The 15,589-nt window shown below is 45.8% G+C and overlaps 1 protein-coding gene and 1 long non-coding RNA gene across 3 annotated transcripts in view, besides 2 other annotated features; one reads left to right on the top strand and one right to left on the bottom strand.

The window, feature by feature from the left end:
• ZFHX3 (zinc finger homeobox 3) overlaps positions 1 to 15,589 on the top strand; it is a 1,109,046-nt gene that overhangs the window by 790,327 nt on the left and 303,130 nt on the right. Inside the window, exon 8 of one of the 2 annotated variants that reach the window (NM_001386735.1) lies at positions 8,006 to 8,369. The gene's annotated coding sequence lies outside the window, so the exon portion shown is untranslated. Of the gene's footprint in view, positions 1 to 7,935; positions 8,370 to 15,589 lie in introns of those variants that run through there. The other variant, XM_047434166.1, reaches the window with a different exon arrangement.
• Positions 7,650 to 8,150: an enhancer, noted in NCBI's record as "H3K4me1 hESC enhancer chr16:73127353-73127853 (GRCh37/hg19 assembly coordinates)". NCBI's record gives its function as "activates a minimal SCP1, AML or CMV promoter by ChIP-STARR-seq in naive H9 embryonic stem cells {active_cell/tissue: H9 hESC(naive)}" and the evidence as "EXISTENCE:reporter gene assay evidence [ECO:0000049][PMID:30033119]".
• Positions 7,830 to 9,255, bottom strand: HCCAT5 (hepatocellular carcinoma associated transcript 5). Its single transcript, NR_027756.1, has 3 exons — positions 8,619 to 9,255; positions 8,393 to 8,523; positions 7,830 to 8,140 (listed from the first exon to the last, which is right to left on the bottom strand). It is a non-coding gene; the product is annotated as a hepatocellular carcinoma associated transcript 5 (long non-coding RNA).
• Positions 8,151 to 8,651: an enhancer, noted in NCBI's record as "H3K4me1 hESC enhancer chr16:73126852-73127352 (GRCh37/hg19 assembly coordinates)". NCBI's record gives its function as "activates a minimal SCP1, AML or CMV promoter by ChIP-STARR-seq in naive H9 embryonic stem cells {active_cell/tissue: H9 hESC(naive)}" and the evidence as "EXISTENCE:reporter gene assay evidence [ECO:0000049][PMID:30033119]".

The following is a 15,589-nucleotide window of genomic DNA, read 5'->3' as shown; positions in this document are numbered from 1 at the left end:
ATGGTGAAACCCCACCTCTACTAAAAATAAAAAAAAAAATTTAAAAAAATTTAAAAAATTAGCTGGGCGTGGTGGCGCTTGCCTGTTGTCCCAGCTACTCAGGAGGCTGAGGCAGGAGAATTGCTCGAACCAGGGAGACGGAAGTTGCAGTGAGCCAAGATCGTGCCATTGCACTCCAGCCTAGGTGACAGAGCAAGACTCCATCTCAAAAGGGGAGCAATACCTTTCAACACGGTAATTATATTACTTGTGCCAAAAGACAATGTTCTCAAATTTATGAGTGATGCTGAGGAGTCTGAAGCCCACCTTAGAAATTCTGATTCAGGAGATCTTGAATGGGGCTCATCAATTTGAAATAAATTTTGAAATTTTGAGAAGATGGGTTATGGACCACAATTGAGATATAATGGTGCTGCAGTGCTCTAATGGTACAAACAGGTTGGAGAGGAATCGAAAGTGAAGCAGAGGAGATTGTATCAGATTGTCCAAGAAGAAGGCAAGCGGGACTCAGAGCTGATGGGATTTGGAACAGGTGGATTTAGATGGTTTGAGAATGAACAGGGGTTGAGGGGGTGCTGAAGCACCAGAGCAAGGACATGGTGGATCCTAAGGACATGGATAAAGCAGAAAGCAGCAGTCAGGTGCTGGGGGTCCCTTGTTTTCCATGTTTAATTCTCAGAATCCTTTCTTAGAGAATCCTGGAAATTGGCTGGGCAAGGTGACTCACCCATGTAATCTCAGCACATTGGGAGGCCGAGATGGGCAGATCACCTGAGGTCAGGAGTTCAAGACCAGCCTGGCCAACATAGTGAAACCCCATCTCTACAAAAATACAAAAATTAGCCAGGCGTGATGGTGGGTGCCTGTAATCCCAGCTACTCGGGAGGTTGAGGCAGGAGAATCACTTGAACCTGGGAGGTGGAAATTACCCAGGAGGCAGAGGTGGTAGTGAGGCAAGGTTGCGCCACTGCACTCCAGCCTGGGTAACAGAGCAAGACTAAGACTCCGTCTCAAAAAAAAAAAAAAGAGGGGAATTCCTGGAAATTGAATTCTAACCTGGAAATCAGAAAACTGGGAGATGTCTCCATTTAAGTATGGTGAAGGGGCTTTCTTGCACTCTGCCACTTCCTGATATTTCTGAGAACCAAATTCTGCCAAAGAGTTGCAAAGTTAATCAAACCCAGCAAACCTGGGCCAGATCAAAGAAAAAGGCATGCCCGTTGGTGAGATCGTCTCAGCTCTTGAGTCCTAGTGGCTGATGTTTATTTGTTCGTCTGATCAAGGTGTTTTTGAATACTTACCATGGGCTTTGGGCTGTTCTAGAGTATGTCAGGGTCATCCCTCAGCTGTCTGTCTTCTCTGCACTGTCTATTCCTTCTCTGCTCACTAGCTCAACTCTCAGAAATTAGGAAAAGGAATGAAAAAGAAATGGAACAAAACCCAGTATGTTTGGCTACTTCCTAATGTTTTTAATGAGAGGCTCAATGGTGGAGCCCCGGAATTGTCAACAGTAAAACCTATGGCTTCTCCACAGGTATCTTTCGTCTGAATTCCCCTTGCCCCCAACCCCACCCTGTCCTCATGTGTAATGGGCTGATACCCATAGTGAGATGGTGAACATTTAAATAGCATCTCAAGTCCTCAAGACAATGCAAGGTTCCCAGGAAAGGGATTCCACTGAGAAGGCCCCAGGTAGCCAGAAGGAGAAGTTCCAAGGTATTCCAAGATAATCCAAGGCATGGCTGATGCATATGGTAGACTCGATGACCCAGATGACTCTGAACATTTGGCCTGTTCCTGCTTTCTCCTTCCCCTTCCCACCCCACGTCTGTTCCTCCTGAGAGCAGGACACACAGAGCTCATTTCTCTCTCTCTTTTTTTTTTTTTTTTTTTGAGATGGAGTCTCACTCTGTCGCCCAGGCTGGAGTGCCGTGGTGTGATCTCGGCTCACTGCAACCTCTGCCTCCAGGGTTCAAGCTATTCTCCTGCCTCAGCCTCCTGAGTAGCTGGGATTAAAGGTGCCTGCAACCACACCCAGCTAATTTTTGTATTTTTAGTAAAGACAGGGTTTCACCATGTTGGCCAGGCTGGTCTCAAACTCCTGACCACAGGTAATCCACCTGCCTCAGCCTCCCAAAGTGCAGGGATTACAGGTGTGAGCCACTGTGCCCGGCCAGAGCTCATCTCTTAATGTTTCCAAATAAAGCTGTGGTAAGAACCTAACTGTCTGGTGTGACAAAAATAAAAAACTCCGACAACAAAAATTGCTATTCAAAGTAAAGTATTATTTTAGGGTGGCATTATTTTTTAAATTCACATTTTTCATTTGTTATAACATGTAGCCGTTCTGTGAACACATAGATAAGAGGATACAATAGCTATTTGACAGTGTAGCTCTCAGAATATTTGCATATCCAAGAGATTATTTCAGGAAGTGTACTTAGACTGACCCTATTAACCATTCACAATATTTTGTCTTGAATCCAATTCACACTCTATAGACATGTCCAATTCACATTTCAGCTCTTACACTGTTTTCCCTTTTAGACTGTATATTAGGAAATAAATCCCTAACATCAAATTTCATGACAACCTCTGCTCCGGCTGACATGATTGAAAGGGAATTTCACTCATCCCAGGTGATTCTGTTTCTTAATTTGTTCTTTAGCATACCTGAGAAGCAGCTTGTTTTATCAAGTCCAATGTAGGGGGTGGAGGTTGCTGGTGCAGAATTCACAACCAGCACCAGCCGTGGCAATGCCAGAGGATGACTGCAAGAAGTCCTTTGAAGCGGCGGCGTTGACAGTCAGAGAGGAATTCCCAGGCATAAATGGCTTTGCCACGTGTGCCCACGCTGGCTCTGCCAAGCTAGCAAACAGAGCATCCAAGATAAAGGTAGATCAGATGAAAAAAAAAATGTGATGGTCAAAACATAGATATACAGCCAGGTGCAGTGGCTCACGCCTGTAATCCCAACACTTTGGGAGGCCAGGGTAGGAGGATCGCCTGAGGTCAGGAGTTCAAGACCAACCTGGCCAACATGGCAAAACCCCATCTCTACTAAAGATACAAAAATTATCCGGGTGTGGTGGCATGTGCCTGTCATCCCAGCTACTCAGGAAGCTGAGGGAGGAGAATCACTTGAACCCAGGAGGTAGAGGTTGCAGTGAGCCAAGATCATGCCACTGCACTCCAGCCTAGGTGAGAGAGCAAAACTCCATCTCAAAGACAAAACAGGTGGGGCACGGTGGCTCACACCTGTAATCCCAGCACTTTGGAAGGCTGTGACGGGTGGATCACGAGGTCAGGAGTTCGAGACCAGCCTGGCCAATATGGTGAAACCCTGTCTCTACTAAAAATACAAAAAAATTAACTGGGTCTGGTGGCCCATGCTTGTAGTCCCAGCTGCTCAGGAGGCTGAGGCAGGAGAATCGCTTGAACCCAGGAGACAGAGGTTTCAGTGATCTGAGATCGTGCCACTGCACTCCAGCCTGGGTGACAAAGCGAGACTCCATCTCAAAAAAAAAAAAAATAGATACACAAGGGACGCAGATACTTGTACACTCATGTTGACAGCAACATTATTCCAATAGCCAAAGAGACTAACAACCCAAGCGTCCATCAACAGGGGAGTGGATAAACATAATGTGGTATATCCATACAGTGGAATATTATTTGGTATAAAATGAATTAAGGTTAGATACATCTTATGACATGGATGAACCTTGAAAACATTATGTTCAGTGAAAGAAGCCAGATACAAAGGGACAAATATTGTACAGCGCCATTTATGTGAAATGTTCAGAATAGCAAATTCATAGAGACGGAAAGTAGATGAGAGGTTTCCAGGGGCTGGAGGGGCCACGGGGACGGGGAAAGAGGGAATAGGACTTATTGCTTAATGGGTAAAAAGTTTACGTTTAGAGTGACGAGAAATGTTGGAAAGAGATCGTGGCCATAGTCTCACAACACTGCCAGTGTGATGAACAGCACTGAATTGTACACTGAACAATGGGTAAAATGGCAAATTTTATGTTGTCTATATTTTAACACAATGAAAAATTAAATAACTTGAGACATATGTATATATAAATCCAGGTAAAACCTAAAACCAGATAATCCAGTTGAAAAGTCATGAAAGCTATTCATGGGAAATTACATAAACAAGTTAGAAAAGACAGTAAGAGCTGTCTCAGAGCTAACCCTATTCAAACTGTCCAGAAAGAAATCTTTCTAGGCCAGGCTCAGCAGCTCATGCCTGTATGGCCAGCACTTTGGGAGGCCAAGTGGGGAGGATTGCTTGAGAACAGGAGTTCAAGACCATCCTGGGCAACAGAGCAAGTCCTGTCTCTACAAAAAAAAAAAAAAAAAATTAAAATTAGCTGGGTGTGGTGAGGAGGCAAGCACCTCTAGTCCCAGCTACTTGGGAGGCTGAGGCAGAAGAACTGCTTGAGCCTGGGAGGTTGAGGCTGCAGAGAGTTGTGATGGTGCCACTGCACTCCAGCCTGGGTGACAGAACAAGACCCCACCTCGAAAGAAGGAAGGGAGGGAAGGAGGGGGAGAGAGACAGAGAAAGAGAAGAGAAGAGATGAGATGAGATGCAAAGAAAAAATATTTCTCCTCTTGCCTTGGCTTTCCCTGTGGCCGTTTCTTTACAGCACATACTTATGGCTGTGTTTTAAGATCTCATCTCCTGTGTTTTGGGCAAAGGTGCCAGTCTTCTTGACTGAGTTCCCCTCTGTCCCAGCACACCTGACATGAAATGAGGTTCTAAAGGCAAGCTTACTCCCGGGCATACTTCTGCCTTGAAGAAGAGTTTTAACATGATGCCCCATTCTCTGCCTTCTCCTGTCCCACTCCCTTCCCACCATCAGAAGTTCAGCTTCAATGCCGGGCATGGTGGCTTGTGCCTGCAATCCCCCTGTAATCCCAGCATTTGGGGAGGCTGAGGCAGGTGGATCCCTTGAGGTCAGGAGTTTGAGACCAGCCTGGCCAAAAGGTGAAACCCCGTCTCTACTAAAAAAAAAAAAAAAATTAGCTGGGCTTCATGGTGCACACCTATAATCCCAGCTACTTGGGAGGCTGAAGTACAAGAATCGCTTGAACCCAGGAGGTGGAGGTTACAATGAGCTGAGATCGCATCACTGCACTCCACCCTGGGTGACAGAGTGAGACTCTGTCTCAAAAAAAAAAATAAAGAAGTTCGGCTTCAGCTATTGCATACGAAGACCTCTGAGTTTTCATTGGTTTAGGAAATGTGCAGGGCTGCTGTAAGAGCGCCTACGAGATGGAGGGAGATCCCCTGAGCTCCCAGACCATGAAAGACCCAGCCACCACCCGGTCTCCAGCACTGGGAGTCATAAGGAGCAAAAGCTACTTTCTGGAACAGTTATAGGAGCCCAATTCGGGGCAGGCAGCCGGAGCAGGCAGGCAGGCAGGCAGTAAAGAGTTTCCAGGTCCCTGGGGGACTGTAATCACATTCCCCAACCAGGTGCTGGGAGGAGGGCTAGTGGCTTCCAACCTTCTTGGCCCGGGGCCAGCATCTCCAGGCCCCTCTCCACCCTTGGCTCAATCACATCGTCTTTCCAACCAGAAGCTTGTTAACTGTTTTCCTGTGCTTTTATTCAGATTTCAAGGCACCCTCTGTGTGTTAAACTTCAAAGAAAGTTTGCTACAGTAAGTGCAATGTTGTAACAAGTGGAAGCTCCTAACAGCTCTGTTGAAAATGGTTTATTAAAAAGAAGGGGCCGGGATTCTTTTCCCCCTCCACCCACCGCCTTCTTTCAAATGAAATTGCATTTGTGTCTGAATTAAGTTGCCCGGTATCAATCCTGAAGTTTTTAAAGATGAAAAGCAGAACAGCCACACAATATTTAAAATGTAAAATGATTACCAAATGGCATCAGGCCAATGTTTATGAATCATTGAATATGATGATAAAATCATAAAAAATAATCACCAAAAAGTAAATAAATTACCCAGCTTACTGCGTACTTTCACGTAAGGTCTGACACAAAAGCTGCAGCCATGAATGATTTATACCTGTTTTAACAATAATACTCATTTTACTGAAAGATGGTCAGCACTTGGGCCGCTGTGGGCAACATGCCAGTTGTCGAAAGGTTAATGTTTCAGCAGCAATACATTAAATTATGAATAACACCAGTCCCAAAATGGAAGGTTATTAGCTCAGTCTGCTTAATTAGCCCAGCTAGAACTTTGCCATCTAGTAGCAGTGCCCATTACTTCAGCAGTAGCTAAGATGGGGGCTGGCAGTGTGGGATTCTTATGCCAGACTGGGGACAGGGAGAGGCAAGATGGGTGTGGGATGTCTTTTATTTTCTTTTCATCCAGTATAATATTAAGAGAAGCATCCCAGAGCCAGGCGCAGTGGCTCATGCCTGTAGTCCCAGCACTTTGGGAGGCCAAAGTGGGAGGATCACTTGAGCTCAGGAGTTTGAGACCAGCCTAGGCAACACAGCAAGACCCTTGTCTCTATTTAAAATAAAAAGTAAAAAAAGATAAGCATTTCAGAAGCTGGTTTTCAGGATTTTTAACTCTCCCATGGTTTATCTATGAAGACTTCACAGAAGGAGCTGCGCACAGTGGCTCATGCCTGTAATCCCAACGCTTTAGGAGGCTGAGGTGGGCAGATCACCTGAGGTCAGGAGTTTGAGACTAGCCTGGCTAACATGAGGAAAACCCTATCTCTATAAAAATACAAAAATTAGCCGGACATGACGGTGTACATCTGCAGTCCCAGCTACTCAGGAGGCTGAAGCAGGAGAATCACTTGAACCCAGAAGGTGGAGGCTGCAGTGAGTCAAGTTCGTACCTCTGCACTCCAGCCTGGGCAAAAAAGCAAGACTCCATCAAAAAATAACAACAGCAACAACAACGACAAAAAACACTTCACAGGAGGAAGGAGCAGAAATTGTTAGGGAGGAGCTTGGTCCTTGGTCCTTGTTGGTGTGGACCCACCGTGATCTGGTTCTACATGTGTTTGTTGCTGCTACACCTGAGCCCCACCGAAGTAGCATAAGGTACCATCCACTTTGGCGCCCACCGTGACCCGTCAGCACTCATCCAACACAGGCATGTATTGGGCAGCTACTTTGTACCTAGTACTTACAAAGTCAGGAATAAGACAAACACATTTTTAATCTAAGGGAGGGGACAGACAACCATGTTAAACAATCAACTATGCAGTTATTGCATTAATTACAGTCACATGGCTGTTATGAAGAGAAGGTTTACAGGACCAGCCCCTGGACTGGAGTCAGGGTAGGGGTTCTTAGAGAAGGCTTCTTACTGTTCAGATCTCTAAAATGTGTGAGTAGGAATTAATTGGGTGAACTTCCAGGAAAGAACCTTCCAGGGAGAAAAATACCTAAACTATGCCTGTGTTTCCAAAAAGAATGCTGCTGGAGAAAGATCAGGCATTATTTTCAAAGGTATATTGGAAGAGGATTTGCCTACCTGGGCTATAAGAAAGCTATTGAGCGCCTAGCTTGTGTGTGCATTTGTAGGGGGTTGGGGGGGTCCACACTCAACCCCACAACTTTCCCTCACCCCATCCTGCCTTTGCCCTGCCAGGTGCTCCAGTTCTAAACTCTTAAGTTTTCAGCCAGGAGCAGGGCCAGGACTCACCCGTGCCATGCCGGCTACATCCCTGCTAGAGCTAAGCTGTCTGCACCACCGCCCCAGCTCTACTTAGTACTATTAGTAGCTTGTTTTTCTAAGCCCTAAAATTCATTTTCTTTTCCCGCCTCGCTTCCAGAAAAATAAATAAAAGTGAACACATCACTCATTTAAGACGAGGAATGGAATTTAGGTTGCGTTTTTCTTTCTATTTTTATGATTAGTTAGAATTTTCCTGGGAACGCCGCCAGGAGGGCATTATGGTGAGATAATGTCCTGTATTTAATCAGCGCTGTAATGGCGAACTGTATTCTGTGGGGAGAGGCCGAGTTCACTCATCCTTCTCCGTGCTGTCTGTTTGCAGGAGACGACCGGTTAGCCCAAGATGAAGACAAGGCCGAGAAATGGCTGGGCTCCAGGCTTGTGTGACAGCCCGAGAGTGGACAGGGCGCAGCTATGACTCCATCTCTTCTTACAGGACCTGGAAGCTCTGAGAGCCCTGGAACCCCCAAAAGAGCTGAGCGAAAGGGGCCCTCAAACGGACCAAAGTGATCAGCTGTGGTTCTGCATCTGCCAGACTTTTTCAGGGTCGTCCCCTGTGGCTTTCAGACGTCTGTTGGCCTGGGCACACTTCTGGCTTTCAATATGCATCTTTCCCCTTTGCAACCCAAACACGATGTGCAAAGGGTGGCACGTGGCCTTTGAGTGAACCTGGAAGTCAACGCCAGGTAGGACCGGATCATTCCCTTACCTCTGCATGCGCGTGGTCGTCCAGAGTTTCCCGAAAACCTCTGCTGGAGGTGAGGGCTCGTGGTTTGCAGCTGTCGGGGTTGTTCTTGTTTTCAGAGTTCTTTGATCCATTGCTGAAGAATGAAGGGATCTCTGGGAGGGGTCAAATAGCAAAAGGATATGTTAGAGAGATGTTTGAAAGGATGGAAGAAAACAAGGGCCCGAAGAAAAAGGAGAAGGGATTTCACCTCCAGGAAGGGCACACAGAGCATAAACGAAGGGATACAGGTTGGCTTTTCTCTGCAACTAGCATGGGTGGCTGGGAAAACAGGAGCGCGTGGGACACACACAGCCTCTCAGATTTACTGTTGTCCCTATTAAACTCCGGGTCTGCATGAGCCGTCTGTTCAGGTAAGGGCAGTGGAGAGCACAGGATGCCCCAAGCAACCCATAAATAGCAGGGTGAAGACAAAGTGTTTATTACTTAGCCTCATGAAGCCCATATAAGCGCTCTCCCAGAGCGCGAGAGAGCAAGAGCATGTGTAAGCCAGCCCGCGTGTGTGTCCCGGGAGTGGGAGCCCCAGACACGGCGTTCGCGCTCGGCTTGATTCTATGAAGGCGTCTATTTGATGGAACGTACTGGAACAGTTCATAGCCAGCCCAGCAAACCTTGTGTGGAGACAGAGCTTGCTTTTTCTCTTTCCTTTTCCTGTTTGCAGTGAGAATGAGGCCTTTCTCTCCCCGGCCCTTTGCTCTCCCCACAGTTGTCTCACGAGGTCACTTCCTGCTGACAGGCTCCTTTCAGTGCAAGGTTTGGATGGAAACAATACTCCGTTTTCTGGGGGACTGGTGAGGCTCTGGGCCTCACCAGGCTGTCTTAAACTTAAATGGGATATTGTTTCAGTAGGGCTGACAGTTTCTTCAGACAACTGGCTCTATGTGATGCAAGACTTTATCCTTTTTTGTGTGTGCATGTGTAAATATATATATGGTATCTTCATACCATCAACACGCAGTGGCAGAAAGGTGGCTTATGATCATGATGTTTGCTTTCAAGTCTGGTTCAACTACGCACTAGCTGCGTGTTCTTGGGCAAGTTACTAAGTGACTTTCCCTTTTTAGCTGGGCATTAGTGTCCTTAATTCACACTAGCCTGTCTATAAGAAATCTTCGAGCTCAAACATTCGTTGATTCTGTGATTGCAAGACACTACATCACTATGTTCAACAATGAACTTAAAAGCACTTTCTCTGAATAGCTAATATATCGGCAGAACCAATTTCTAAGAGCAGTTAAGGATATGTGCTGAATGTTCTGTTGAATATCCTGAATACTGAATGTATTGGTTTGCTAAGGTGAGGGGAAAGTAGAAGAGACCTATGTCATCACATTCTAGCGTCTCGAAATACCCTTATAGATATTCTCAGGGTTTTCAGCTACAGTGATCCTTGTGGCCATTGGATAGTATTTTGAAAATTAAGTGGCACTGTCAAATGCTATATTTTGCGAATTTCTGAATGAAGACTCAGCTCGACAAACTCTTTCATCCCATGAAGATCGTAAAATAAATGAATGCAATTCACCACAACTAAGGTTAACTATTTGGGGTCATAATATCAAATATCAGGGTCCTCAGAGGAAACTGACAGGATAAAGATGGGATTGAGCAAGGCTCAGTCTCTGAGATGCTAGGGACCATTTGACATAGCCAACCTCAGGCTACTGCTGGCCAGCTCTGCAGAAGTGTCGCCAGCACAGGAGTGTGTGCTGGCCTTCGAGGAAGGTAAGTCCCTGGCTGATCCAAGAAAGAGGGATTCCCTGGGGTTCCGCCAATAGGCACAGTGGGAATCACAGCCCTGCAGCCACTGAAAGCCATTGCCAACTCCTTTGTTGATCTCCATAAGGTTGTCTCTCCCAGGCTTACTGCCAATGCCCCTTTTGGAAAAGCGTGACACTGCTGGCTGCCTGATTAGTGGTCTTTACTGCTTTTTTTTTTTTCCCCGCTTTCTTTTTTTTTTTTTCCGAGACGGAGTCTCACTCTGCCGCCCAGGCTGGAGTACAGTGGCGTGATCTCCACTCACTGCAAGCCCCACCTCCCGGGTTCATGCCATTCTTTTGCCTCAGCCTCCCGAGTAGCTGGGACTACAGGCACCCGCCACCATGCCTGGTTAATTTTTTGTATTTTTAGTAGAGACGGGGTTTTACCGTGTTAGCCAGGATGGTCTTTATCTCCTGACCTTGTGATCCGCTAGCCACAGCCTCCCAAAGTGCTGGGATTACAGGTATGAGCCACCATGCCTTGCCTTTTTTTTTTTTTTTTTTCAATATGGGATCTTACTCTGTCTCCCAGGCTGGAGTACAGTGGTGCAATCATGGTTCACTGCAGCCTTGACCTCTTGGGCTCAAGTGATTCTCCCACCTCAGCCTCTCAAGTAGCTAGGACTACAGATGCACACCAGTACACCTGGCTAATGTTTTGTATGTTTTTTGTTTTGTTTTTTTTTTTTTCTGTAGAGGCCAGTTTTCACCATGTTGCCCAGGCTGGTCTCGAACTCCTGGGCTCAAGCAATCTGCCTGCCTTGGCCTCCCAAAGTGCTGGGATTACAGGCATGAACCACCACGCCCCACCCTTTACTGCTTCTTTAACATCCAGCCCGCTTTCCCTCCCTTTCTTGCTTCCATAGACATTTATTGAGCAAATACTATGTGATAGGCACTGTGATAAGCACGTGGCACTCATATATTTAAACAAATGGTCCCTGAGCTCAGAATACTTTTTGCCTTATGAAAAAGATAACCAAGTACACAACAACAAATGTACTTTATTTATTTATTTACTTAATTTGAGACAGGGTCTCTGTCACCCAGGTTGGAGTGCAGTGCCACCATCTCAGCCCACTGCAACCTCCGCCTCCCAGGCTCAAGCCATCCTCCCACCTCAGCCTCCTGAGTAGCTGGGACCATGGGCGCATGCCACCATGCTGGCTAATTTTTGTATTTTTCATAGAGATGGGGTTTCCCCATGTTGCAGAGGCTGGTCTCAAACTCCTGAGCTCAAGGGATCTGCCCACCTTGGCCTCCCGAAGTGCTGGGATTACAGGTGTGAGCCACCAAGCCCGGCCCCACAGATATAGTTTAAATACAGTTATTACAGTGAACTTGGAGAGCACGGATTAGGAAAAAAAGTGCCTCAGCCTGGAGGGGTTGATATTGTTGCAGGCAAGGCATTGTCAGGAGAGGACACATGCCCTATTTGGGCATCACAGGTAGGTATTTTGTGCATTGTGTGTAGGATCTGGGAAGCAATCAAGACTGGAGATGAGCTTGGGGGCCACTAGCCTTAAAGCAAGCACAGCTTCGGTTCAGGAATATTTCTTCATCCTTATATCCTACAGATAATTCCCCAGCCTTGAACACTAATAGGGGAATCTTCAAATCTTGCCAGTCATTAACAAAAGGCTTGACGATCATTAGTAAAGCCTGCAGGTCAGTCTCCCAGGGCAGCATGGTGCCTCAGGCTCTGTGTCTGCAAGGATGAGAGCCTTCCCTGGTACATTCATCCTATCCAGGGATGAATCTTGAATCACAGGATTCCTGTTGTCAGAGACCTGCCCTGATTCATGCCAGTCAGTGCAGGGTCAATGGATAGTGTGGTCACTGCATCCATCACTTAATCACAGTGGCATCCCTGATGTTGCTTGCATTAGACCCTTGTTCGGTGACACAGTTGGCTTCATGGTGGCCCAGCTCTGTGCTGTTTGATTTTTCCTCGGTAAAAATATGTTCATGGAGTAATGAGATGCAAGGACACAATCTAAAGGTATAACATTAGACCGGGTGCAGCGGCTCACGCCTGTAATCCCAGCACTTTAGGATCCACTTTACGTGGATCACCTGAGGTCAGGAGTTTGAGGCCAGCCTGGCCAACAGAGTGAAACCTCGTCTTTATTAAAAATACAAAAATTAGCTGGGGGTGGTGGCAGGTACCTGTAATCCCAGCTACTCGGGAGGCTGAAGCAGGAGAATTGCTTGAACCTGGGAGGCGGAGGTTGCAGTGAGCTGAGATCGCGTCACTGCACTCCAGCCTGGGCGACAGAGCAAGACTCTGTCTCAAAAAATCAATTAATTAATTAAAATTAAAATTTAAAAAAAGGTGTAACATTACCTTTGCCTTTGGAAGTGAGTGTCTGTCTGAGGCTACTGAGATCCTCACCCAGGGCTATGTTAAGTTCAAATGCAGAGGCCCCATCCAATCCTAAGGCCTTCAACGAGCTGTGCCTTTCTGCCTCGTGCTTTCTCTGGCTGCCACCTGCCCTGGACCCCCACCATGGATACTAAACAGTCTGACTTCCCTTTCAGGATCTATGTAGGGTCAAGACTGTCCAATGAGTAGTGGGCATGGCCAGCACTATGAGGTTAGAAGACCAGACTTCTTGTGATAAGATGAGCTCCTGTCAGTGGTCTGCTTTCTGACACTGGTGTCTCAGTCTCTCTGATCTCCTGCCTTGAACTTCAGGATGTACCTGAGAATGTTTTAACTCTCATTTAGTTACCTGGATCCATGCCCTCACTACCTACTGTGACCTGCCGTACCTACCTGATCCCCAAAAACTTGCCTGAGCATGGAACTCTAATCCTCATTCTGCCACACTCATTTCTCCTTTGTTCTTATCCATACCTAGAATCGACATGCAGATAGAATTCATTTAGGTGGTTTCTTATATTCTAGGCTTCATGCAATCATGGAGATGGTAAGTACAGGTATATGAAATAAAAGAAATGTGGCAGGCACAGTGGTTCATGCCTGTATTTCAGCACTTTGAGAGACTGAGGCATGTGGATCGCTTGAGCCCAGGAGTTTGAGACCAGCTGGGGTAACACGGTGAAACCCCATCTCTACGAAAAATACAAAATACAAAAATTAGCTGGGCATGGTGGCACACAGCTGTGATCCCAGCCGTGCAGAGGGCTGAGGTGGAAGGATTGCTTGAGCCCAGGAGTTTGAGGCCGCAGTGAGCTATGATCACTCCGCTGTGCTCCAGCCTGGGTGGCAGAGGGAGACCCTCTCTCAAAAAAAAAGAAAAAAAAAAATGAAATGAAAGTTTAGGCCAGGTGCAGTGGTTCACGCCTATAATCCCAGCACTTTGGGAGGTTAAGGCGGGTGAATCACCTGAGGTCAGGAGTTCGAGACCAGCCTGGCCAACATGGAGAAACCCCATCTCTACTAAAAATACAAAATCAGCCAGGCGTGGTGGTGGATGCCTATAATCCCAGTTACTCAGGAGGCTGAGGCAGGAGAATCATTTGAACCCGGGAAGCTGGAGGTTGCAGTGAGCCAAGACCATATCACTGCACTCCAGCCTGGATGACAAGAGCGAGACTCCATCTCAGAAAAAAAAAAAAGAGAGAGAAATGAAAGTTTGGCTTGGCTTGTAAACTTCTTTGTCCCTTACAATTTAAGACATTTCCTGATCCTTGAACCACATTAAATCTCAAAATGTATTAGACTTTGGGGACACTATCCTTGACTCCTGGAAAGAGCCCAAACTGACATTAAAAAGTCATCTTCTCCATGAAAAAAGATGCACAAATGCCAGTTGCTTAGAGTCCCAGGGGATTCTTGTCCATCACCCCCCATTTTTAATTAGAGTTATAATCATCTCTCAGGGGACATCTTGAGGCTTCATTAAATCCAGCAGCTTCCCTGTGATATCTAAAACTGGTGATGTTTAAAATCTTGGCTATATCAAAAAGAATGGCAGTTTGGGGAAAACATATCTGTTGTCTAGGGGCTTTAGGAGAAATGAGGTTCCCTTGTGCCTCTGTAAGACAAGGACTTTCCTGGAGTTAGCCTGAAAAGCTGTACCTCTTGTTGTCCCGCTGGGTACGTTGGTTTCATATTCACGTCACATTCCCGGATCCTCAGAGGCCCCAGTTAAACCTCACAGTTTGCCATCTGTGACTTACTTCACAAACCCACAACAGGTAGTTAGTTACATGACCCTTTGAGATGGACCAGCCTGTCTAGTTTTAGGACTAGTACTGTGTTCGTAGACCAGGAATTCTCCATGGCAGTATTCATTATACTTTTTAATTAAATTTTTAAAAGTTTTTAGTGTTTTTCTAATTGATAAATAATAGTTGTACCTATTTCGGGGGGCACATGTAATATTTTGATACATGTGAACAATGGGTAATGATCTCATCAGGGTAACTGGGATACCTGTCACCTCAAACATTTGTATTTTCTTATGTTGGGAGCATTCCAGTTCTTCTCTTCTGGCTATTTTGTTGTTTTGTGGTTTTGGTTTTCTGTTTTGTTTTGTTTTTTGAGACAGGGTCTTGTTCTTTGACCCAGGATGGAGTGCAGTGGTGTCATCACAGCTCATTGCAGCCTCAACCTCCTGGACTCAAACAATCCTCCCACCTCAGCCTCCCGAGTAGCTGAGAGCACAGGTGCATGCCACCACACCTAGCTAATTTTTGTATTTTTTGTACAGATGGGGTTTTGTCATGTTGCCCAGGCTGGTCTTGAACTCCTGTATTCAAGCAATCTCCCTGCCTCAGCTTCCCAAAGTTCTGGAATTACCAGTATGAGCCACCATGCCTGGCCCTAGATACTGTGAACTATACATAAAATTATTGCTAACGATAGTCCATTTTCATTCATGTTGCTTCAAATGACAGGATTTAATTCTTTTTTTGTAGCTGAGTAATATTCCATTGTGTATATATACCACATTTTCTTTATCCATTCATCCATTGATGGACACTTAGGTGGATTCCATATCTTTGCTATTGTGAGTAATGCCACAATAAACATGGAAGTGCAGATTTCTCTTCAATATACTGATTTCCTTTCTTTGCGACATACACCCACCAGTGGCACTGTCAGATCATATGGTAGTTCTATTTTTAGACTTTTGAGGAACCTCCACTTTTCCATAGAGGCTGTACTAATTTACATTCCCACCAACAGTGCACGTGGGTTCCCCTTTTTCTGCAACTTTACCAGCATTTGCTATTTTTTGTCGTTTTGATAAAAGCCATTCTAACTGGGGTAAGATATCTCGTTGTGGTTTTGATTTGCATTTCTTGGACAATTAATGATGTGGAGCATTTTTAAATGGCATTTTAAAAATATACTTGTTGGCCATTTGTCATACATATGTCTTCTTTTGAGAAATGTCTGTCTGTCTAGATCTTTTGCCCATTTTTA

This window comes from Homo sapiens, chromosome 16, assembly GCF_000001405.40.
Source record: "Homo sapiens chromosome 16, GRCh38.p14 Primary Assembly".
In the NCBI taxonomy this organism is placed as follows: Eukaryota; Metazoa; Chordata; class Mammalia; order Primates; family Hominidae; genus Homo; species Homo sapiens.
Note: the sequence above shows the minus strand (reverse complement) of the source record. Positions and strands in the feature narration are given on the sequence as shown.